Source organism: Homo sapiens, chromosome X (assembly GCF_000001405.40).
Source record: "Homo sapiens chromosome X, GRCh38.p14 Primary Assembly".
NCBI lineage: Eukaryota > Metazoa > Chordata > Mammalia > Primates > Hominidae > Homo > Homo sapiens.
Window position 1 is genome coordinate 8,486,991 of NC_000023.11, and position 24,130 is coordinate 8,511,120.

At 38.1% G+C, this 24,130-nt stretch overlaps 1 long non-coding RNA gene across 2 annotated transcripts, besides 2 other annotated features; it reads right to left on the reverse strand.

Moving 5' to 3' along the window:
- Nucleotides 1-2,683: 2,683 nt before the first annotated feature.
- LINC03113 (long intergenic non-protein coding RNA 3113) lies at nt 2,684-17,574 on the reverse strand. 2 transcript variants are annotated; one of them, XR_001755793.2, is made up of 5 exons: nt 17,292-17,574; nt 7,902-8,140; nt 7,274-7,356; nt 6,635-6,756; nt 2,684-3,758 (listed from the first exon to the last, which is right to left on the reverse strand). It is a non-coding gene; the product is annotated as a long intergenic non-protein coding RNA 3113 (long non-coding RNA). The 2 variants fall into 2 exon arrangements; XR_001755792.2 differs by having other exon boundaries at nt 7,902-8,398.
- Nucleotides 7,477-8,676: an enhancer, noted in NCBI's record as "P300/CBP strongly-dependent group 1 enhancer chrX:8462508-8463707 (GRCh37/hg19 assembly coordinates)". NCBI's record gives its function as "activates an origin of replication core promoter dependent on BRD2, BRD4, P300/CBP, MED14 and CDK7 cofactors, with strong dependence on P300/CBP, by STARR-seq in HCT116 cells {active_cell/tissue: HCT116}" and the evidence as "EXISTENCE:reporter gene assay evidence [ECO:0000049][PMID:35650434]".
- Nucleotides 21,122-21,623: an enhancer, noted in NCBI's record as "NANOG hESC enhancer chrX:8476153-8476654 (GRCh37/hg19 assembly coordinates)". NCBI's record gives its function as "activates a minimal SCP1, AML or CMV promoter by ChIP-STARR-seq in primed H9 embryonic stem cells {active_cell/tissue: H9 hESC(primed)}" and the evidence as "EXISTENCE:reporter gene assay evidence [ECO:0000049][PMID:30033119]".

Here is a 24,130-nt window from a genome sequence, read left to right on the forward strand (position 1 = left end):
CTACTTCTGTGAACATTTTGTGGAAAATTTGGAATAACCACAGGATGAGGTTTGCATCACATTATATTACAGTTCACCATATATAAATAAGCTCATTGTCAAATGTATATTATTAAAGTTTGAATCGAGAAAAGCATAATAGTTTCCAGCTTTTACATTTTGGTATTGGGCTTTGCAAAAAAAATTGCAATTGCTGTTAAGAAGGCATCCTAGACATTATGCAGGCACAAGTGGTGTAATCCCAAACAGCTTAAGAAACCTAAATATTGTTAGGTATGGTTCTGCTTAAGGTAAGTTTCCCTGCAGTTCATGCTGCAGGGTACTGAGCTGTATTCTTGTTAAATATTTACCATAAGTTACTGTACTTCATTTCTGTTTCCCACAAACTGAGTCCTGTGTATCAGATAGCCTAACAGGACAGCACAAATCTTTCAGAAAGTGAGATCCACTGCTGAAGTCAATTCAGCCAAAAATTTCATCAGAATGAGCTAAAAAAAACAACTGATTACCCAGAGATGCATCATTGTTTAGATTTATTTTTGATTATTCCAACTTTCGTTTCTGGTTCTCTTTTTATTTTTATAAATTTTTATTTTATATATTTTCAAGCACACAGAAAATATCAAAGTACAGTATAAAATTTGCTGTAAACATTCAACCAGATTTAGGACATGTTAAAAATTTCCCACAGTGGCTTTGCTCTATCTATGTTATTGTGGTTTTTTGTTTTGTTTTGTTTTGTTTTTTGACAGAGTCTCACTCAGGCTGGAGTGCAGTGGCACAGTCTTGGCTCACTGCAACCTCTGCCTCCCTGGTTCAAGCAGTTCTCCCTGCCTCAGCCTCCCAAGTAGCTGGGATTACAGGCACCCGCCACCACACCTGGCTAATTTTTATATTTCTAGTAGAGACGGGGTTTCGCCATGTTGGCCAGACTGGTCTTGAACTCCCGACCTCAGGTCCGCCCGCCTCAGCCTCCCAAAGTGCTGGGATTATAGGTGTGAACCATTGCGCCCAACTGCTTTGCTCTATCTGACTGTCTATCTATCTATCTATCTATCTATCTATCTATCTATCTATCTATCATCTACCTATCCATCTATTTGTATCTATCTATCTATCTATATCTGTCTATCTGTCTCTCTGTCTATCTATCTGTCTGTCTCTCTATTTGTCTGTCTGGCTGGCTTGCTGGCTGGCTATCGTTTGTCTATCTATCTGTGGATCTGTCTGTCTAACTATCTTTCTGTCTATCTGTCTATCTATCTGTCTATCTGTCTGCCTATCTGTCTATTTGTCTGACTGGCTGGCTGGCTATCTATCTATCTATCTATCTATCTATCATCTATCTATCTATCTATCTATCTACCTACCTACCTACCTACCTGTCTTTCTATCTGCCTGTCTACCTTTCAGTCTGTCTACCTTTCTGTCTATCTTTCTGTCTGTTTTTCTATCTGTCCATCTGTCTGTCTGTCTGTATGTCTTTTCGTCCTCCGTCCATCTATCTGTCTATCTGTCTTTCTTTCTGTCCGTCTATTTTTCTGTCTGTCTGTCCATCCGTCTGCCCGTCTGTCTGTCTGTCCATCTATCTGTCTAAGGGACCTGTCTGTCTTTCTGTCTGTCTATCTGTCTGTCTCTCTCTCTCTCTAGCTACCTATCTACCTATCATCTATCTGTCTTCTCTCCCCTAAGTGTTTTCATGCACACAAATACACACATAACACACACAATTCTATATATCTATATATGTATATCTATATATGCATATACTTTTCTGAACTACTTGAAATTAAGTTGTAGATATCATATTCACCTAACACCAAATATTTTGGTATGAATTTCCCAAAGATAAAAACTGCACGAACCTGATACAATTAACAAAATCAAGACATTTAACATTGGTACAATACTATCTAATTCATTGATAGTATTGGTATCATTGATAACATTGGCGCAGTACTATCTAATTCACAGTGATACTGAAAATTTCTTCATTATTGCTATACTGTCTTTTTTAGCTATATTTTTTTCTGGTCCAGTATCCAATTCACAATCATGAATGACATCACATTGTCTGGTAACTTTACTTTCCTTCAGTCTGGAACATTCTCTGTTTCTTGTTTGTTCATGAAGCTGATATATCTGAAGACAGGCCAGTTATTTTGTTGAACATCCTTCGATATGAGCTGGTTTAATGATTCCTGATAACTGGATTCAATTTATTTATTTTTGGCAGGAGTACCATCAAAATGAGGTGTGTTTTCTCTAGTACCTTATGTCTAGATGCACATGATGCCTCTGTCTCATTATTGGTGATGATAAACTTCATCACTTGGTTAAAATGGTGTCTCTTGGATATCCCCGTACAAAGTTATTAATTTTACCTTTGCAATTTATAAGACATGTGGTATTGATAAGAAATCAATGGGCTATTTCAGACTATGTATATATCATATCTTGTTCATCAAATTAATTTTGTCATCTAGTTGGCCTTGATGCCAATATGGTGGTTACAATACAAAGATTTCCCAACTCCATCATTCTTTATGTGTTTCTCACTTGGCTATCTGTGAGGAAGTGCTTTGCATTGTCTTCTATCATTCTATTCACTATCCGTATGAATTCCTGGATATTACAAGTGCACTTTTCTGAAGTTACCCCTTTCAAAATGGCACCTGTGTAATTTTGACACTTTCCAAGCATTTATTCATACTTTCTGACATAACATTACCATAATTCCTCAGATGTCAAAATGAAGATAAAAGTAAATCTAGAATGATGATCTCCATCTATTAACTTATTAAGAGAATACATTGACATACATGATGATAAATACTTTTATCTCTAACAATGCTTCTAATTGTTTGTGACATTCAAAATTAATGCAGATAATATTGCAGAGCACGTTGAGTCTAAGGCCACTTTAGTTTTTGCCCAAAGAGCTTTCAACAAGAGAGATGTCCACAGTCTTCTTTGAATATATAAATCATGTCTACAAATCAAACTCAGTAATTATGCTGTGCTGAAATATTTGCATAAAATATTTGAATACAATCAGACATAATCTGGTACAAATGGTGGCAAAATAATTATTTTTATGAAAATCCGAGGGTGTTTTAATGTCATAATTTAGCCTCTGGGTACTAATTTATTGGTCACCTATTTCACTGTTACCAAAGTCTTCTCAATGATTAATACCTCAGCCACTTTTGCATAGTTCTAGGGGTTGAGAGTAACTATAGCATTTTAAGAGCACTTATTTCACTAATTGACATTTTCTATTATAAGCAGAGATCCTGCAATTCTCTGCCTTCTTCTTTGTTTTGACTTCAAGAGCTGTAACAAATAGTGAATCTACTTCCTCTTCCATACACCACTCCTTTAAATATTTGAAGAGAGCTCCCGTGTTCTGTTGGATACTGTCATTCTTTGCTAAATACTACCAGTTCCCAATTCCATTTTTCAAAAGTGCTTTCAATGATAATTTGCTCTACTCTGGATACTGTTGAGTCTGTCACAAATGGTAACAATGCTGATTAATTAGTATAGTGACCTGAACTACCATAGTTGAGAAGAAAATAAGAGGTTACATTCAGGCTTGTTCAGAAAGAGTGCAGCTATTTGATGTCTGTCAAAATATTGTAGGAGGCAGGGCACAGTGGCTTGTGCCCTTAATCCCAGCATTTTGGGAGGCGAAGGTAGGAGGATCTCTTCAGTCTGGGAGTTCAAAGCTTGGGCAACATAGTGGAACCCCATTTCTACAAAAAGAAAAATTACAAAAATTAGCCAGAGGTGGTGATGCATGCCTGGAGTCCCAGGTATTCAGGAGGCTAAGGCAGGAGGATCTCTTGCATCCATGAAGTGGAGGCTGCAGTGAGACATGATTATGTCCCTGCATTCCAGCCTGGATGACAGAGCAAGACCCTATCTCAAAAAAAAAAAAAAAAAAAAAAAAAAAAAAAAAAGACCTTGTAGTAGACAGTGGTGTTTATTTGATATCCTATATTGTAAATTAAGACAATGGCTTAGATATAATAGTTAGATGTGGTCTAGCCTGGGTAGCACACATGTGACATTTTATAAGAAATTATTCTAATATGCTGATTTCTAAAATCAGTTAGAATTTATCATATTATTAGCTCAGAACAAATTTGTAGTCAACTAAAATGTCAAGATTTTTGTTTTTCCTGTAACATGCTTTTGGGATCATGGTTTATTATATAATCTTATTATTGCTAGAAGGCTTGGAAAGTCTCTTGGTTGGACAAATTAAGAAAAAAATATATAATGAGATGACACTAAATAAATAAATGTCATCTTGCCATTTACCTTTAGCAAAATTTTCATACAGAACTGCAGAATGTGTGAGAACTTATTTCACTTTTGTTTATATAAAAATTCTTTTTAATGTTTCAAAACATGAGTTACATCGAAGTTTTCAAGAGAAAAGTTGTATATCTGTATTTAATCTTCACCTATGTTCACCTAACTAAAAATATGAAGCAGTTATACTGCACTAACATTTTTTCACAATGTTTTGCTATCCTAAACTATATTTATATTTACTTTTCATTTACAATGTGCTTGTCCATCCTATTGTGTGAATAATAGCAATTTTTAGGGATGAAATAGTAAACCATAAGGCTATGCAAAACCTAATGGAAAAGATCTTTCAGGGGATTCTTTTGACTAAAGACAGATGTGACAGATGTTATGAAGTCTTTTAAAATTTTTCAGAAAGTACAATAAGTGATATCCATAGCAGTCCTGCAGTCTAAAATGATAACTTTTGAAAAGAGAAAAGTTTTGGCAAACTGTAAAATAGAGGTAGACATTGCCAAAGGGAAAAAAATTGCTTTGGTTTCCACATATCAAAACACTTTTTTTCAACACATCAGGTCAAAGGTATGACAAAACGTGCCTTACTAAGTATCCGGAAGGCCTTATAATGCTGCTTTACACCAAGGAGGTGGTTGCTACAGCCCTTCTTTTGGAAAACTCAGAGTGTGAGGCCCAGTTATTCTCTTGCAAAAAGCTACTGGCTGTAAATGAGTGGTTTAAAGGCTGCATTTGATTCTACTCCATGCACTGAAGTAGCTTAGCATTTATTTAAGATTGCAGTACAGCAGTAGACAAGAAAACAAAAAACACAAAGGTAAATGTTCCACTGTATATGTGCAAGGGATTTCGCTGGAATATACATGTGCGAATATGTGTGTGTGTGTGTGTGTGTGTGTGTGTGGAGAGAGAGAGAGAGAGAAAGAGAGAGAGAAAACACCAGAAGATGAGAAACTCAAACTACTCAGTGTGGTTGTAGAAATGCAGCTTAAAAAAAAGGTAATTGAACATTAAAACAAAGCTGTTTGCAATAAGACATTTTCATGAGCTATTTATGCCTCATATAAATTCTCATTTCTTGAAAGTAAGACCAAAGAAATGTTTAACGAACCTTTCTGTATTATGCAGACCTGGCATTTATTATCAGAGACTGCGCACTGTACAATGAAGTAAAGCCAGCCATTCATTAGGTAAGGTGTGTGTATATACACATATGTTTTTTTAAATAAACTCTTTGCATTGCATGTAGTTGAATTACAGATCAAGTCTGCATGTTCTCTTCCTTCCAACATGACTTAAGAAGACCCGTAAGTAATTGATAAGGCTGGCCATGCTTTCAAAACTAGCTAGTGAAGACTTGCTAAGGGGAAAAATCACTATCGTCCTGTTCATTTTTATTTTCCTCTGTTAAGAGGCAACTAACTGAAAATGTTAACATTTAGAGAAATAAGTGATGCTTTTTAGTGTGTCTCCCTGCTGCACACTGAATTCACCTCTGTTTCCACATACTCCATATTTGCCACAATCATTTCTGCCTTCCTTCTTAAATTAAGAGCTCCTTGGTGACTGGTGACAAAAAAATATTTGTGGTGGATTAAGATCCCTCTAAATGTCAGCTCTTCCACAGACATTATTTTATTCTCACAAAAGTGCTGCAAGATAGGTGTTTGTTTGTTTCTTTTTGAGACGGGCTCTTGCTCTGTCACCCAGGCTGGAGTGCAGTGGCGCGATCTTGGCTCACTTCAAGCTCCGCCTCCCGGGTTCACGCCATTCTCCTGCCTCAGCCTCCCGAGTAGCTGGGACTACAGGCGCCCGCCACCAAGACCGGCTAATTTTTTTGTATTTTTAGTAGAGACGGGGTTTCGCCGTGTTAGACAGGATGATCTCGGTCTCCTGACCTTGTGATCCGCCCACCTGGGCCTCCCAAAGTGCTGGGATTACAGGCGTGAGCCACCGTGCCCGGCCAAGATAGGTTTTATTATTTCCAATTTAGTTAATCAGACAATAGGCTCAAAGAGGCCAATTAACCCCCTCAAGATCACACAACAAATCAATTTGTTGGTCAAATTGATCAAGTGGTCAATTTTGGGCTTTAAACCAACTCTGCCAAAAATTACTATCGGAGACATTTCAACCATCACCATAGATCATGTGTATTAATCTTAGTATTCTCAGGAACTGATGGTGCTTAATCTATAATTAAGGTAATTTCAGCCAATATTTAGTAAATACCTGGTTAGCTATTTCCAGGTACCAAAAGGTAGAACACAATACTTTCTATTTACTGAGAAATTACCTGGCCAAGTAGTTTTCTGGAGTTGCTCACATTCAGAGATGAAGTATAGTGAATGCATTACAGCAGTCGCCTTATCCACAGTTTCTCTGTCTGCAGTTTCAGTTACCTGCAGACAACTGCAGCTGGAAAATATTGCATGGAAAGTTCCAAAAATAAACAATTTTCAGTTTTCAATTGTGTGCCATTCTTCATAACATGATGAAATCTCACACTGTCCTGCTCCATCCTGCCTGAGATGTAAATTATCCCTTTGTCCAGCATCTCCACGCTGGGCACATAACTCGCTACCCACCAAAGCTGGGCACATAACTCGCTACCCACCCAAGAGTCATGGACATCATCTGCTCCTGACATTCACCCATTAGACATCATCATAGCTCAAAGATCTGGGATCACCCAAAGCAGATGACCCTCCTTCTGATGCTTTGTCAGAAGGTCAATAGTAGACTAACACTACTACATCACAACGCCTGTGCCACAATGCCTATGTCATTCACCTCGTTTCATCTCATGAGGCAGGCATATTATCATCTCACACCATCACAAGAAGAAGGGTGATGTATTAGTCCATTTTCATACTGCTATAAAGAACTGCCAAGACTGGGTAATTTATAAAGGAAAGAGGTTTAATTGACTCACAGTTTCACATGGCTGGGGAGGCCTCAGGAAACTTACAATCATGGTGGAAGGTGAAAGGGAAGCAAGGCACCTTCTTCACAAGGCTGCAGGAAGGAGAAGTGCTGAGTGAAGTGGGAATAGTCCCTTATAAAACCGTCTGATCTCGTGAGAACTCACTATCACGAGAACAGCATGAGGGAAACCACCCCCATGATTCAATTACCTCCACCTGGTCTCTCCCTTGACACGTGGGGATTATGGGGATTACAATTCAAGATGAGATTTGGGTGGGGACACAAAGCCTAACCATATCAGGTGAGTACAGTACAATAAGATATTTTGAGAGAAAGAAGGCGATATCACTTAACTTCACAAGATACTATTATAATTGTTTAATTTTAGTATTAGTTATTGTTGTTCATCTCTTACTGTGCCTTATTTATAAATTAAACTTTATCATACATATGTAATGTATGTAGGTATAAGAAAAAGCAGTGTATATAGGGTTCAGTACTATCCTTGGTTTCAGGCATCCACTCCGGATCTTGGAACATCTCTCTCACGGACAAGAGGGGGACTACTGTAGGTGCCTATTGCCATGTAACAAAACATCTCAAAATATAATGGTGAGAAACATTATATGTATTACCTCACAGTTTCTGTGGGTGAGGAATTTTGGCATTGCTTAGCTGAGCCCTCTTATGAGCCTGTAGTCAGCCGGGACATCAGTCGTGTCAAGCCTAGGTGGATCCTTTTCCAAGCTCCCTTGCAAGGTGATTGGTGGGATTCAGATCCTCATGGGCTGCTGCACGGAGGCCCTCCATTCTTTGTTGGCTGTTGACCAGTTCTCTGTCATATAGGCCTCTCCATGGGGCAGCTCACAACTTCCTTCATGAAAACAGGTGAGGAGGCCCAGAAAGAGAAAGAAGACCATAAAGTTAGAGTCTTTGTGGCTTAGTCTCAGTAGCGTCATCCCAACACTTGGCAGTGCTCCATTCCTCAGAAGCCACTTGCTCTTTCCAGCCCACTCTCAACAGGATGTGATTAAGCAAGGCGTGAAGATGAGGGAGCAGGTATCATGGTGTGCCATCTCAGAAGGCTGCTGACAGCAACAAATAACAGAAGCGAGGCCTTGGAAGTGTTTATCTGCAACAGGACAATCACAGTTCACCATATATGAAAGAGTTAAGTGAATTTTTTTCAGGCATAATAACTCCAGCTGACACCCAAATTGGGAACATCAAAAGTCACTTTCTAAGCAGAATCATATCAATAGCTTTAAATATCAGGCAAGCATATTCCTTACAAGATTTTTTTTGTAGCATTTATTATAACCTCTTTTGAGCCCTGGATATTATGCAAATTAAGTGAGCATTGTGTATGTTTTCTTGGCTGGCACTCTTGAGATATCAAAAGTGTGAAAGAGCTGGCACTAAATCTTGGCCTTCAGCTCTGAAAGCTCTAAATGTAAGTAAGGGGAAAAAAGTGTGCATGTGTTTATACAGAATAGAATATGAAAAAGAGCCTAGTTTTCTTTCTTAACAGGATTATGCAATTTAAACCTTGTTTTCAACCACATAAAGACATCCTTTTTCTTGAATGACACTATTAGACTGGAAAGTGTTAAAATATATTCCCTTGAGGTTTTCTGTGAGATCGGCCTAGACACTATACACTAATGATGACAGGATCAAGGCTTATAAAACTTTAGAATATTCTGATTTTTAGTCGCATTACGAAGACAAGAGCCTCATTATCTTTCATCATTTGTACTTCTGAAATACTAATGTATGCGTTGCTCTTCTATACATTATTAAATTTCATTTTAAATGGAAAATGTTAATATTTAACTCAATAGTTTAAACACTATTAATACTAATGTTGTCTTTCTAATTTCTAGAGGGAAAACTTTCCAACTTCAATTTGAATCCTCTTAACTTTTATGTTTTCACTGTTCGGAAAGCATACTCTAGTGGCATGGATTATCCTGAAAGCAAGATAATGAAAATGAATTTATATCTAACCTGAACGTGTTTGGGGATTTGAGTATGCATCCCTAACATGGGAGAAGTTCACAACAATTGAAATAGTTCTGAAACGGAGCTGTAAAGACTGGACTCAAGACAAGCAGACATTTTCCATCCTACTGGTCTATCCCTTTCTGCAATGCTCTTCCTATTTATCTTTCTTATCAAGATATCCTCATCTCTGAAATGGACAGAAGGGTCTTTCATAGGAAGAGTTGCTGTGAGCTCCTTTTAGGGATTTTGAACTTGTGGACATTCACTCTAAGAATGCACACATAAATGCACTATAGTAAACAAGTGAGTAAATGAGGAAACCTGGGCACTCTTCTTTTTTCCTTTCATTCATAAACGGGCATTTCAAGGCGGTTATTTAAAGCTCATGTGAATTTCAGGAAGCAGTTGCTGTGCCTATCCTCTGTGGTTCCATAGCACCCACTATAAACATCTAATAGACTGCATTGAAACTATCTTTGTATATATCTATATGCCCAACTGGATTCCTAGGGGAAGAGATTCAGCATTTTTCTTCTCTAGTACATAACATAATGTCTGGCATCAACCAGATGTTCGAACACCATAAAACCATCACCAACCATAAAAATAAGAGCACACACGACGCCCAGATCTCTAAAGCGTCTGGAGTGGTGTTTTGGACTGGCAGTGTAGATATTTTCTAATATAAGCATTAATACAGGGAAAGCCAGCAGCACCTTGACAAAGGAAATAATTCAGCCTCCTCTTGACAAACATGTGTATTGGATTTTCCCAGTTTCAAAGCCAGAAAATCATTCCATTTACCTCAAACAATGAGGATACATGTGAAAATAAGAAACCAGGGAAATCACCATCAAGATGCCACCTTGCGGAAGAGATAGGCAGCTGGAATCACTAAGACGCCCTCCCTGCAAGAACACGAACCCAAGTATAGGCAGAATAATGGAGAGAAGAAAGCTTGAATGACAACTTTGATCACCTATCATCACTTTGTTGCTCTCCTATTCTCAGAACTTTAGTATTTTTCACTACTACTTCCTCCTCTCTGTTACATTTTCTCTTCTGTTTCTACCACCAGGGAAGTGTTTCCCTCTTTTTCTTTATTGTTTTTTAAATTTATTTATTTATTTATTTATTTTTGAGGGAGTTTTACTCTTGTTGCCCAGGCTGGAGTGCAATGGCACGATCTCAGCTCAGCACAACCTCTGCCTCCCAGGTTCAAGCAATTCTGTCTCAGCCTTCCGAGTAGCTGGGATTACAGGCATGCACCACCACGCCTGGCTAATTTTGTATCTTTAGTAGAGACGGGGTTTCTCCATGTTGGTCAGGCTGGTCTTGAACTCCCGAACTCAGGTGATCCACCCGCCTCGGCCTCCCAAATTGCTGGGATTACAGGCGTGAGCCACCTCGCCCAGCTGCGTCTCTCCTTTTGTTGAAGGTTTTCAAAATATTGATAAGAAATTTATGTGTAAGAAGCCACCTAGATCTTTTCTCTCAGTGGGGAACTGTGGGTGATGGCGCTTTCCCCAAAATGGGATGTGGTGGTGTGCAGACTCCTGGAATTTTGCAAAACCCTTATTTTGTTTGAACTGTTTTCCTTTTAGTCAAATGACTTTCAGGCCAGTTTTCATTATATGGACAGACCATAGTTAAGTCATCTACTGTGCCACAATTGCTACAATAATGCTGAGCAAAAGGGATCATCCAAAAACCCAGCCATTCATAACAGAAAACACTTGAACATTCATGGCTCTGCAGGGGAGCTGGGGCCACTCTGCTTCAAGCGGCAGTTGGTATTCATTTAAGGTTCATGTGCCATTCCATCCTTTTTTTATTGATGGCTCTGTGGACATGCTGTCCTGACAGCAGATCGCAGGAATACCGCAGTGGGAGGGGAAACATGAGGCTTCCTGAGACTTTGGCCCCAGGCCGGATCCTTACGCCATCACTCAATTCCCACTGGCCAATCCAAATCCTCTCACCAAGCCCAGTACCACCATGGCAGGAAGCAAAGGCGGCTCCCTGCTGCAGTGGACAGCATTGCAGAGCCACTATCCTGCATGGGTGCATCATTCTTGGAGCAGGAAGGCTGGAAGAATTGAGAACAGTAATTCAGCCTTCCCATAATGATGACTTAGCTCTGTTCTCCATAAGCCTCTAGACCAAACTTGTCCAACCTATTGCCTGCATGCAGCCCAGCACAGCCTTCCATGCTGCGCAACATGAATTTGTAAACTTTCTTAAATTATTACCAGATTTTTTCTTTTTTTTTTTCTTTTTTTTTTTTTTTTTTTGCTCATCTGCTATTGCTAGTGTTTGTGTATTTTATGTGTGGCCCAAAACAATTATTTTTCTTCTAATGTGGCCCAGGGAAGCCAAAAGATTGGACACCCCTGCTCTAGAACTTCAGGGATATGTTTATTCATTGGTTTATTCTCCCCAGGTATATTAAGAGCATAACAAAAAAAGAAAAGGAAAGGAAAGAGGGGGAGGGGAGAGTGGGGAGGGGAGATTTGGGGAGGGGAGGGACAAAGGAAGAAAGGGGGGAAGGAAAGAAAGAAAGAGAAAAGAAAGGAGAGTAGAGGAAGAAATGAAGAAAGAAAAAAAGGAAGAAGAAAGAAAGAAAGAGAAAAGAAAGAGAGAGGGGGGAGGGAGAGAGGGAAGGAAAGGAAAAATGAAGAGAGAAAAGAAGGAAAGAAACAGAGAAAGAGAGAGAGAGAAAGAGAAAAGAAAGAAAGGAAAGAAAGGAAAGAGAGTAGAGGAAGAAATGAAGAAAGAAAAAAGGAAGAAGAAGGAAAGAAAGAAAGAGAAAGGAAAGCGAGAGGGGGGAGGGAGAGAGGGAAGGAAAGGAAAAATGAAGAAAGAGAGAAAAGAAGGAAAGAAAGAGAGAGAGAGAAAGAAAAGAAAGAAAGAAAAGAAAGAAGAAAGAAAGAAAAAAGAAAGAAAGAAAGAAAGAAAGAAGGAAAGAAAAAGAAGAAAGAAAGAGAAAGTCTTGAGTTAAACTAAATTTCATTGGGGAAAAATCAAAACATTGTTAACCCACTTCATAGAGATAAGTAATTATAATTGCTTACATATATGTGTATCCAGTGTGTTTCTTCACCAACATTTTGGTAACAAAAAACGTAGCATTATCATGACTACCCAGCATTTAAAACCAAGATAAGTGGTTGTCTTTCAGATTATCTACACCACCAACTGAATAGAGAGGTGTTCAGTTGAAAATGCAAAATACTTTAAATATTTAAATATTGTATCCCCATGATCCCAAAATGTGACATTAATTATTTTGAGTAGTTTTTTATTAAATCAAAAGAATTCACTGAATGAATTTGTCTTGGTACACACTTTGACACTCAAGTGAACGCAACCTCTGAAATCATTCTTGATTAAGAAATCCTGAAAAAAACTCATCTCTACTAGATGACTAGATAAGCCGGAAAGAGGCTTTGGTCATTTTAAATAGAAATGCTCTCGTTATTCTTCTAAATACCGTTTGAGAAAAAACCAGATAGTATAATGTGGGTTTCATCTAAATTCATATCTATTTCCTTTCTAAGCATTTAATCTCTGATGGCAATTCATGCATTACAGGACTTAGTATCTGTGTAAGTAGATCATGTGGAGGAGGCAGAGGGATAATTTACCCATCTTTCATTAAACTGCCTTGGCATATTACAGCAGGGGCCCTAAACCCTTATTTAAGAACTTTAAAAAGGATTACATTCCAGGAATCCCCCAATTTCCATCGGCTTGAATGCTACAGAGATATGAACCACTTAGGCTTTCCAACCTCAGCTGCATCCAGTCTAAAACTACTACAGACTGTAATTCAGCAGCACATAGTATCTTTCCTTGCTTTGTTTTGGTTGGATTTTTTTCAAATCCGAAAATACGTGTAGATTCAGACCAAGTCATACCACCTGTCATGAGGTGGGTCAAACTTCTCAGGTTCTTTTCTTTCTCTCAAAATAGAAATGTCTTAGGTTCTAATTTAGATTGTCCCAGGTTGGATTTCTGTTATTGTTATTGAAGAAGATACTGACCTGAGATAACATCAGTCTCTAGCTGGGTCTGAATAAGACTCAACTTGGAGGTGAGGATCCCTAACACCTGTCAGCTATAGCCTTGAGAAACATTGTTGGACAAAAATAAGAGCTGAATAATGCCATTTGCAGCCGCGTACTTCACAGGCGGGGCAAAGCCTCTTTGCCCACAGCAAGCTGAGCTGGATGTTGTGTCACTTTGTTCAAGATAATGTGTTGCAACCTGAATCAGAATACAGATTTTAAGTTCTGTAATATAGGCAATATTCGCCAAAGACTGTTACAAGAACAGTACAGATTTTTCTATTCTGGCCAAATTATATAATAGAATTACCTGCCTCTATCCATTAGAATAGCAGGAGAGAAAAATGTGTTTTGTTTTTCAGTATGAGAGAGGGAGAGAGAAAGTTAGTTTATGTTTCTTAGGAGCAGATATTGAGACCAAGATTTTAATGTGATCACTTTTAGGAAGGGATGTGAGCCTAGGAAACATCAGAGGGAGAAGAGAAGACAAAAGAAGGAGCTCGGAAAGGGTGTGCTGTCCTATAATACAAGTGATTGCTGCGGGCAGTTGTAGCTTCATTCTGAGGAGTGTCTCTGAGAGGTAGAGCAGAGCACACACCTCAGCATTCTCATTCCCAAAACAAGAGGGAGCTGGAGCTGCTGGTCACCAACACCCTTCAGCCATTGCTGGAGGCCAATGTAGGAGGCATTGTCTCCTGGCATGTCCTGTATGCTTTGTGCTTTGCCGGAGCTGAACCTGGTAGCCAGGAAAGGCCCTTGGGCAAGAAGACACAGGTGCTGGGAGGTGGAAAACTGGAAGACCAGAGCAGTGTCCATGAAAATTATACAAATCAAGAAGATATGGGCAGGATATCTATACATCTATATCATCTACCTCTACAACTATAATTGTATCTATATCTATGTCTATATTTCTAACTATGCATTTGTATTTATTTATTTATTTTTTAGATGGAGTGTTGCTGTGTTGCCCAGGCTGCAGTGGAGTGGCACAATCAATTCACTCCTGCCTCTACTTCTCAGGTTCAAGAAATTCTCCTGCCTCAACCTCCCGAGTAGCTGGGACTACAGGCGCATGCCACCACGCCCAGCTAATTTATGTATCTTTTTAGTAGAGTGGGAGTTTCACCATGTTGGCCAGGCTGGTCTCAAACTCCTGACCTCAAATGATCCTCCTGCCTCAGCCTCCCAAAGTGCTAGGATTACAGGCATGAGCCACTGTGCCCGACCTGCATTTGTATTTATGGATACATGTTTGTGTGCATGTATTTATACACATGCTGGCTGTGACTTAACCAAAACAAAATCCTATAAAGTAAAATGTCCAGATTTTACAAAACACTTTCATAAACAATGAAAGCTTGGTATCAACAATACAAAATGACCTCAAAAACCCAATCATTTGTAAATTGAGTGATCTACTTGTAAATTTAATAAAAACATGGTATTAAACAATATTCAGATCAAAGGGAACATCATAACAGATATGTCAGTTATCTAGGAAGTAATGAAAAGGCTAATTCTGTATGCCAAAATCTATGATAAACCTGTTTATATTCACAAGCTTTCATTATTAAAATGAAAAAAGGCTGAACATAAATGAAATAATTATTCAATATAAGAAACTAGAAAAAACAATTAAAATAGTAAAATAAAAGAGAATAAAGATAAAAACGGAAATTACTAAAATAGTATAAATAGTAGCCAACAGAAATATATCCAAACATCATTTCTCTGAAAATAACTATAAAACAGAAAAAGTACTAGCATATTAGATTGAGAAAAAATAAGATGGCACAAAGAAATGAATGAGATTATGAATAAAAAGGCAATAAAATCACAGATTTAAGAGATTAAAAGAAACATTATAAGTGCCGGCCGACACCCCGTCTGGGAGGTAAGGAGCGCCTCTGCCTGGCCGCCCCGTCTGGGAGGTGGGGAGCGCCTCTGCCCGGCCACCCCGTCTAGGAAGTGAGTGCCTCTGCCCGGCCGCCCCGTCTGGGAAGTGAGGAGCACCTCTGCCCCGCCGCCCCGTCTGGGAGGTGTACCCAACAGCTCCGAAGAGACAGCGACCATCGAGAATGGGCCATGATGACGATGGCGGTTTTGTCGAAAAGAAAAGGGGGAAATGTGGGGAAAAGAAAGAGAGAACAGATTGTTACTGTGTCTATATAGAAAGAAGTAGACATAGGAGACTCCATTTTGTTCTGTACTAAGAAAAATTCTTCTGCCTTGGGATGCTGTTAATCTATAACCTTACCCCCAACCCCGTGCTCTCTGAAACATGTGCTGTGTCCACTCAGGGTTAAATGGATTAAGGGCAGTGCAAGATGTGCTTTGTTAAACAGATGCTTGAAGGCAGCATGCTCCTTAAGAGTCATCACCACTCCCTAATCTCAAGTACCCAGGGACACAAACACTGCGGAAGGCCCCAGGGTCCTCTGCCTAGGAAAACCAGAGACCTTTGTTCACTTGTTTATCTGCTGACCTTCTCTCCACTATTATCCTATGACCCTGCCACATCACCCTCTCCGAGAAACACCCAAGAATGATCAATAAATACTAAAAAAAAAAAAAAAAAAAAAAGAAAGATTATAAGTGCATAGTCTATGTACTTCTATGGCAATAAATATGAGAATTCTGAAGCGAGTGGCTAGTTTCTTGCAAAAATATTCTAACTGGCTTCCCAAAGAGGCAGAAAACTGAATCTACAAATAAAGGAAGGTGTTGAAAAGGTAATTAAAGAGACGCCAGGTTAAAAAATAATATACATCAGACCCAGATGGTTTCACAGTTGTGTTCTACTTGAGCTTTAAAGAACAAATCATTTCTATGTAACATAAACTTTTCTAGGCTAAAGAAAAAGCTGGAAAATTGCCCGATTTCATGATGTTAGTGTAACTTTTAAGCTATAACTTGCTAAGATGAGTGGAAAATAGTGGAAAAAATTGTAGGATAATTCTATATGCTTATTGTGCATGATTAGGTGCAAACATTCTAAATTACAACTCGATAGATTCTACTATATTCAAGATAATGACCAATATTTTTAATATTGGATGAAAGCATGAATGAATGGCTTAAGATCATTTATTTTATTAAATTAAAGGAGAAAACCATCTGTTTATATTCATGGGAGGTGATGATGGAAAGGCATTTGGTAAATTGCCTAAAAATGTGAGGCTATTCCTAAAAAATCTCTAGGTAAGATAAGAGTAGAAGAACATGACCATTACTTAACAGCAAATATCATTGGAAAGAAAAAAGCAATTATATATTTCTTTTAAAAATCAAGGGAAAAATACAGAATGAACACCAGTACCACTCTTACTTAACATGGCTTTGAAGATTCTTGATAAACCAGAAAGCTAAAGCAATTGTTAAATTATTAACATATATTTTAAAGCTACAACAATGTTTAGTTTGCAGATGTTGACACTAAATATCTAGAAAATTGAAAAAACAATTAAAGGTACTTAAGAATTAGTGAGGCAGAGTAGTAAAATGAATGATAAAAGCTGTATATGTCAAAATTGTCTTGCATTTTATGCCAATAGAATAAATTTTAAAATTAGATTATATTTTTATTCATAATAGCAGCTAAAACTACAGAATAACTAATAAAATAGATTTTAATATACATAGATTATATACACACCTATATATGTTTTTTCTTTTCTTAGTCAATCGTGTTTGTGTGTGTATAAACATATATTTCCAGGAACTTTGTGCTCACAGTGAAGGACAAAGCCACATCCTGAATGAATGAAGAAATATAAAATATTCCTTGTTGGGGGGGATGAGAAACAGTCATGTAACCTATTAATTTAATACAATTCCAAGCAAAATCTTTTGATACAAAGAATGTAATGAAAGAGAGCAACATGAATACTCTGTCTCACTTCCCAGGTCAATGTTAACATAGCTAGAAAATGGAAAAGTGCTTACCTTGCTGGTGTTCAGTAAGCAAAATGTAACCCTTTCTTATTTCCCTCGTTCCCACACCTAGACGACCATGGGGCCACGACAGAGAAGCAAGAGGGTGCATTGCACTGAGAACAAGCAGCTTGTCCTCTTTCTCCCAGAATAGCTCACCAGGACTGAACTATTTCTACTTAAAATATTATACTTCTGGGAAGTTGATAGATAAGCATGGAATGTCGAGAAAACTAAGGCAACTGACCATGTGTCTCAAAGAGGGCAGCCCCATAAACTTCTGCGAGGCATTATTAAGATGCTCTCACTCTTGTTGCTGCTTTTATACACTACTCTTCTGTGTTTATAGCTGCAACGTCAATGGGCAGGCGAATTTCTACTTCTCTTGTCCAGTTGCTAGAGGAAAGCAGAAAGTTGCACACATAACTGATGGTTGAGTCAGTCCATGAAACTCCAGACATCATTCCCCGGGGTTATGTGGAGGTTAGTCAGACTGCAACCCTTTTTCATTGTCTTTCCTTAATCCTCATGAAAAGTTGCACTTTTCTTTTGTCGTTAGAGCTGATTTAGAAATTGTAATTTATGTTTCATTAATATTCATTTTTGTCAACATGATTATTGTTTTTTAAGGAAATATTTATTGCATCTACTTATTATTTGGCATTGACCATGAGATGATGTGATTCGGGAAACCTTGATAATAAATTTTCCCTCTGGAATTGCAAACTCTATCCTTCTCACTCTGAACTGCAGTTTCTCTCAATTCTTTGCAATTTCATGCATCCCAAGGAGGTGAAAAATACTCCTCTCTTACTGGAGATAACTTTAAATTAAATCCCTGATCTGTTACATTTTCTGTGACAAAAGGGCTTTCTTAAGATATTATTCTGGATTTTGTACATCAGCAAAGCCTGTTGTTTCCAGCCTGTTAGTGTGATATATCAAAAATGCACACAGACATATAAATTTCTGATCAATTATTTTGAAAACTCTAACCCATATGAAACTTTAACCAATGTCCATATTTTTAAGTTACTATTTTTAATAGCCACACAATAATTCCTTCTTCCTGAAATATTCCATAGACATAATGTAACCCTAGGAAACCCAGTTGCCCTTTGCATGGCTGTGGAGAACTTCTCAATACTTGATTGTTTCACATAAGGGAAATTAGATTTTTAATAAAAAGATCACAGTTATCTTTGCCAGACAGTTAAATACCTGCATGAAGTACTCATTGAAAATATACTTTTTTAATACAATGTTTTAAAGGTATACCCATGAAGCTAAAAAGACTGCAAGAAACAGAAGCCAAAAAGACTGCAAGAAACACTGCAAAGCAAATACCAGCTCTGACAGATGTCACGTGGCATCTGCTGAAACACGAATGGAGGTTTTATTAATGTTCAACTGTATTGTGTACAATAGCAACAGCTGATTAGCGATGGGAGTGGAAGATTCTGACTTCACTCTTCCCCATCACTGTTTCTCTAGCTGCTAATTAAAATATCTCAGAAATTTTAGACATCTTTTTATAACTCATTGTAATATTTGTTCTCCCTCAAATCTACTCCATACAATTCCATATGCCTTTTCTGACTTACATAATTCTGCTTTGACATAAATGATTAATACAGTTTGAGATGAAAAAGAATACAAGTGTAAATAAAAAACTCCCTAATACTGCGAAATTTTATTTTATTTTTATTTTTATTGTATTTTTGAGACACAGCTTCACTCTGTCGCCCATGCTGGAGCACAGTGGTGCAATCGAGGCTCACTGCAACCTCCATCTCCCAGGCTGAAGAGATTCTCTTGCCTAAGCCTCCCAAGTAACTGGGACTACAGGCACGTGACACACCATGCATGGCTAATTTTTGTATTATCAGAGATGAGGTTTTGCCATGTTGGCCAGGCTTGTCTTGAACTCCTGACCTGAAGTGATCTGCCCACCTTGGCCTCCCCAAGTCCTGGGATTAGAGGTGTGAGTCTCCATGCCCATCCATAATGCAAAATTTGAAAATGCCTTTGTTTTGTATTAAAACCTAGTTGTCCAAAAGATTTCAAATAAACTATATATTTGCACAAAGGATCACAGTTATACTTTGATTCCTTAAAAAAAGGGAAAATAACCATGCTTAGAAAATGCATCCACACTTTTCACACAGCAAATGTACTAAAAGATCTTCATTTGATTAAATATTTTTTCATGTTTGAATGGAAACCACAAGATCTGTATAACAGACATGTTCTTAGAGTCTAAGAATGCTTCCTTGATACCAGCCAGTTTCAGCTGACATCTAGCAATTCTAGTATTCATGTGAACTTGCTATAACAACATCAGGATACTTCATAAAGCAATTGTTGAAAAAAAAAAGTCAAACTCTGTAAAATATTTGAAGAGATTTATCCTGAGCCAAATATGAGCAATCAGTGTCCCATGACACAGCCCTCAGGAGGTCCTGAGAACATGTGCCCAAGGTGGTCAACTTGGTTTTGTACAACAAGGCTACAACTTGGTTTTGTACATTTTAGGGAGACATAAGACATTAATCATAACATAACATAACATAAGATATATACATCTTATATGTATATTGGTACATTGGCTCAGTCTGGAAAGGCAAGACAACTAGAATGTTGGGGGGCTTCCAGGTCATAGGCAGATTCAAAAATGCACTGATTGGCAATTGGTTGAAAGAGTTACTAACTAAAGACCTGGAATCAATAGAAAGGAATGTCTGAGTTAAGATAACGGGCTACGGGCTACGGAGACTGATGTTTTATCATGCAGTTGAAGCCTCCAGGTAGCAGGCTTCAGAGAGAATAGATTGTAAATGTTTCACAACAGACTTAAAAGAGTCTGTTCTATCAGTCTTAAGGTCAGCTGTGTCTGAATTGTAGAAGGGAAGAGGGAATAATGAAGCATGTCCAACTCCCCCTTCTTATCATTGCTTGAACTAGTTTTCCAGGTAAATTTTGGAATTTCCTGGGCCATGAACTGGGGTCCATTCAGATGGTTGAGGGGCTTAAATTTTTATTTTTGGTTTACACTATATTGTAGCCAGGTATGCTGGCTCATTCCTTTAATCCCAGCACTTTGGGATGCTGAGGCAGGAGGATCACTTGAGGCCAGGGGTCAAGACCAGCCTGGGCAACATGGTGAGACTTCCGTCTCTACAAAAATATTCGAAAATTAGGCAAGCACAGTGGCACGTACCTGTAGCCCCAGCTACTTGGGAAGCTAAGGTGGGAGGATTGCTTGAGCCCAGAAGTTTGAGGCTGCAGTGATCTATGATTATATCACTTCACTCCAATCAGGGCAAGACAGCGAGACCCTGTCAAAAAAAAAAAAAAGAAAGAAGAAGAAAGAAAATAATGAAAGAATAAAGAAAAAGAAAGAAAGAAAGAAACAAAGAAAGAAAAAGAAAGAAAGAAAGAAAGGAAAAGAAAAGAAAAAGAAAGCTGTATTGCCTCGGAGCTTATATGTTAATAAGTTTTATGTTCTGAAAATAAAAAAAAACCATCCCAAAAGTTATGCCTGCCAAAATCAGGATTAAAAAGATCCTGAAGAAAGACATCTCACTTTGCTAATATGTGCAGAGTTTGCATTTTATTAGTTCTATTTCATTCATTAACTTGGTTAATCAGTGATTTATGGTTGGCCAATGATTTCAAGATGAGATGAAATTTATTAAAGTCATGAAAAGGCAAGCCATCAAACTTCAAGGGACTTCCAACCACACAGCCCCTGAACATTGTCTTGATCGCTTGGTGTTGCAAATGCCCTTTTGGTGGAGCTTAAATAAGATCAGTTGGACTGAGAAAGATTGCTTGATGTAGAGCCATTGAAACAAGCTGAGTGTCTTCCAAGGCAGGGACATCCAATCCATCTCAGATGATAACCTTTTGCAAGGCAGGATGTCCAGTCCATCTCAGATGATAACCCTTCAGGCATCCGTCCTGGTGAGCATTGTTTACCCTTCCCCTGTGGTCACAGTGCAAGCTAATACTGCTAGCTGCAAAGCTCCATAAAGGTTGTTGTAATGCAGAGACTCCCAGGAATTGAGGGATGAGATGAAAGTGGGTTCTGCATAATGGCCCGGGCAGTAATGCTGTTGTAAGAAACTCCACCAAACTTCAGGAGGAGAACAGAGCCAATGTTCAGCGACCTTCTTCCACAAAAGATGGTGAAAAGTCTTTTTTTTGTTTGTTTTTTTTCTTTTTCATGCTACAAATTCACTTTGCATTCAATTTCAACCTCTGTGTTTGTTGGATATCTCTTGTCTACATCTATGGTTATTTCCAAAATAAAAAGTAACATGTTTAAACAATAAGGCACTTTCAAGGAAAAACTGATTTATTTCTACTAAATAAAAATTGTTCCCAGTAACAACCATACCTAAAGAAGTTATAAATCTGTCTTTAATTTTGCAATGACAAATGAAAAATGTTGACTTTTTCAATCAAACAGGTAATTAAGATTGTTTACTGTTGTTGGTTGTGTTAAACAATGAATGCAAAAAATAGTTTGCTGTAATATACAGATAACACTTAAATAAATGTGCCATTAATGGAGAAAAGATGACTTTTTCCCAGGACCAACGTCTTGCCCTCTTCATTTCCATCTGATGTTGTTCAAAACAGTCCACTAGCAAATACAGTTGTTTTGTTGGTGGTGGTGGTTTTTAGAGACTGCCCGTGCATATATACCAGTTACTATATGGACAGTTAAAAAAAATAGGGAGAGAGAAATCAATACTTGTCATTCAAAATAAGCTCTCATTATATTCTCCAGTAGCGTATCTCTTGTTCTTTCACTGCATTTCATAAGCCTTCCTGCATGACCATCTTCACATTGGTGTAATTCTTGCTCTCTGTTTTTCCTCCTCTTCTGGCTTTCCTGGGCCACAGTGAGAATCAGCATCTTCAGTATGGATTAATGCCTGTGGCCCTGATTCCATCAGGAGGCATAGTGAGAACTGCAGGAAAGGCCAGTGGTCTCTCTCATTTGGAATTATTTTTTAGGTCCCCTGCAATAGTCACTAAGAAATCTATCTCTTTAGCAGGCACTCCATAATAGTGCAGAATAGAAGAGTTTAAAAAAAAGAAAAGAAAAGAAAAGGAGGAAAAGATGAGTGAGGATCCAAAGCTTTCTGAACAGGACATTAGTTTTTGCTGCCATGCAGTGTCCAGGAGACAGCTAAATGTTACAGCAGGACCAACCTCAGCCCAAACCTGGTTCCATTCCTTAGGGCAGGTCTGGTGTCTGCCATCCTGAAGGTCGGAACACCCCATCTGGATTAAGTAAGATTTCAGGCAAAATTATTTTATCTCCTTATAAATCATTGAGTCATTCAACATTTATTTATTCGTTAGTTCATGAATCTGACATTTCTGAAATGCTTATTTCCTTGGAGAAAAGGCTGGAGAATTGCATAAAAAACAGATACACTGCCCTAGATAATTCTCAGCTCTGTATACTGGAGTTTGGATACCCCGTGGAAATGGAAATGCTACTGAGAGATATTTCCCTTCCTAAAGAAGTATCTCCTCACACAGGCCTCACCTATCCACAAAGTGAGCTGGAAAATGCTCAAGAGTTGTTTTTATCACCTCCTGGAGGTAATTCCATAGGCAGTACTAACCTGGCTGTACTCTAGTGATTGTTGTCTCATTTGATGGTCTTCAATGTAGAGTGAGGTTTATAAGAAAACAAATTAGATGTAAGAAGATAGTTCTGGAACTTCCACTCATATTTATTTCTACCTAAATAGTTAAGGGAGTGATTAAGACATGCTATGCTGATTTGTAACAGTTGGCTTGACGTTGACTGCCCACTTGGTACTATGACAGTCACGATGCATAATTTTCTTGAAATTCGAAGCACCCTAAGGGCACACTTGTAGTCTGTGAACCACAGAGCAGCCTTGACTGGGCTTTTAATTTGCTTAGCCCTCAACTTTCAGTGTCCTGTGACATATGCATAGTTAGGCAGATTTGTGCATTATTTCATCTAGGTTTAACTGATCTTGCCCACACAAAATGAATATGTAGCTTACAATTTTCCTGGGAAAGAACTATGGATTCAAAATATTTGTCCATATTTCAAGTCCAAGAGAGAAAGATAATAGCTCAGTTGATTCTTGGATTTAATTCTAATAGGAGATTTTCACTATCCATAGTATGAGGTGAACACAGCACCCATGTAATAAGATGGGCCGAGCAATTGCCTGCGGAATCTGAAGTTATCAAGAGCATTATTTGAAATGGAAATTTGCATCAATGATTGTTAGCCATGAACCTTATCCCTCGAGATCATCTCAAACTGTATTATTAAGCCATCATAATTAGCAAGACAATTAGAAGTCAGCCCTCCTGGACAATATCAATGCTAATATATATTTTTAATGAAAACAAAAGGGAATATGTACCATTTGTAAATAAAAATATATGAAGTAATATTTCCACATTATAATTTCATCTCTTAACCTCATCTTTTTTTCTACTTCTGTGTTGGTTTTACAGTGTAAATTATATGTGAGTACAGTAATGCATACCTATACTTTGTAAAGTAAGAAATGCCAACCAATTGAGAATGAATGCCTTAAACATTTCTACTGATGGGAGTAAATGAACAAAAACTTTGGAGTCCAAGGATCTGCTTGCTGGGAAACAGTCTGGGCAGAGAAGGCCACCTCCCTTAGTGTTGCAGGCAACATTGCGCTCCGCCAGTCCTGCTCTGTGAAGCTACTGTAGTTTGCTTCAAGAGAGCTCTTTTTGGTTTTTCTGTAAAGGAATGTAGAAGCCAAGAAATTCCCGCAGATGAACCAAAATAATTATTAACATCC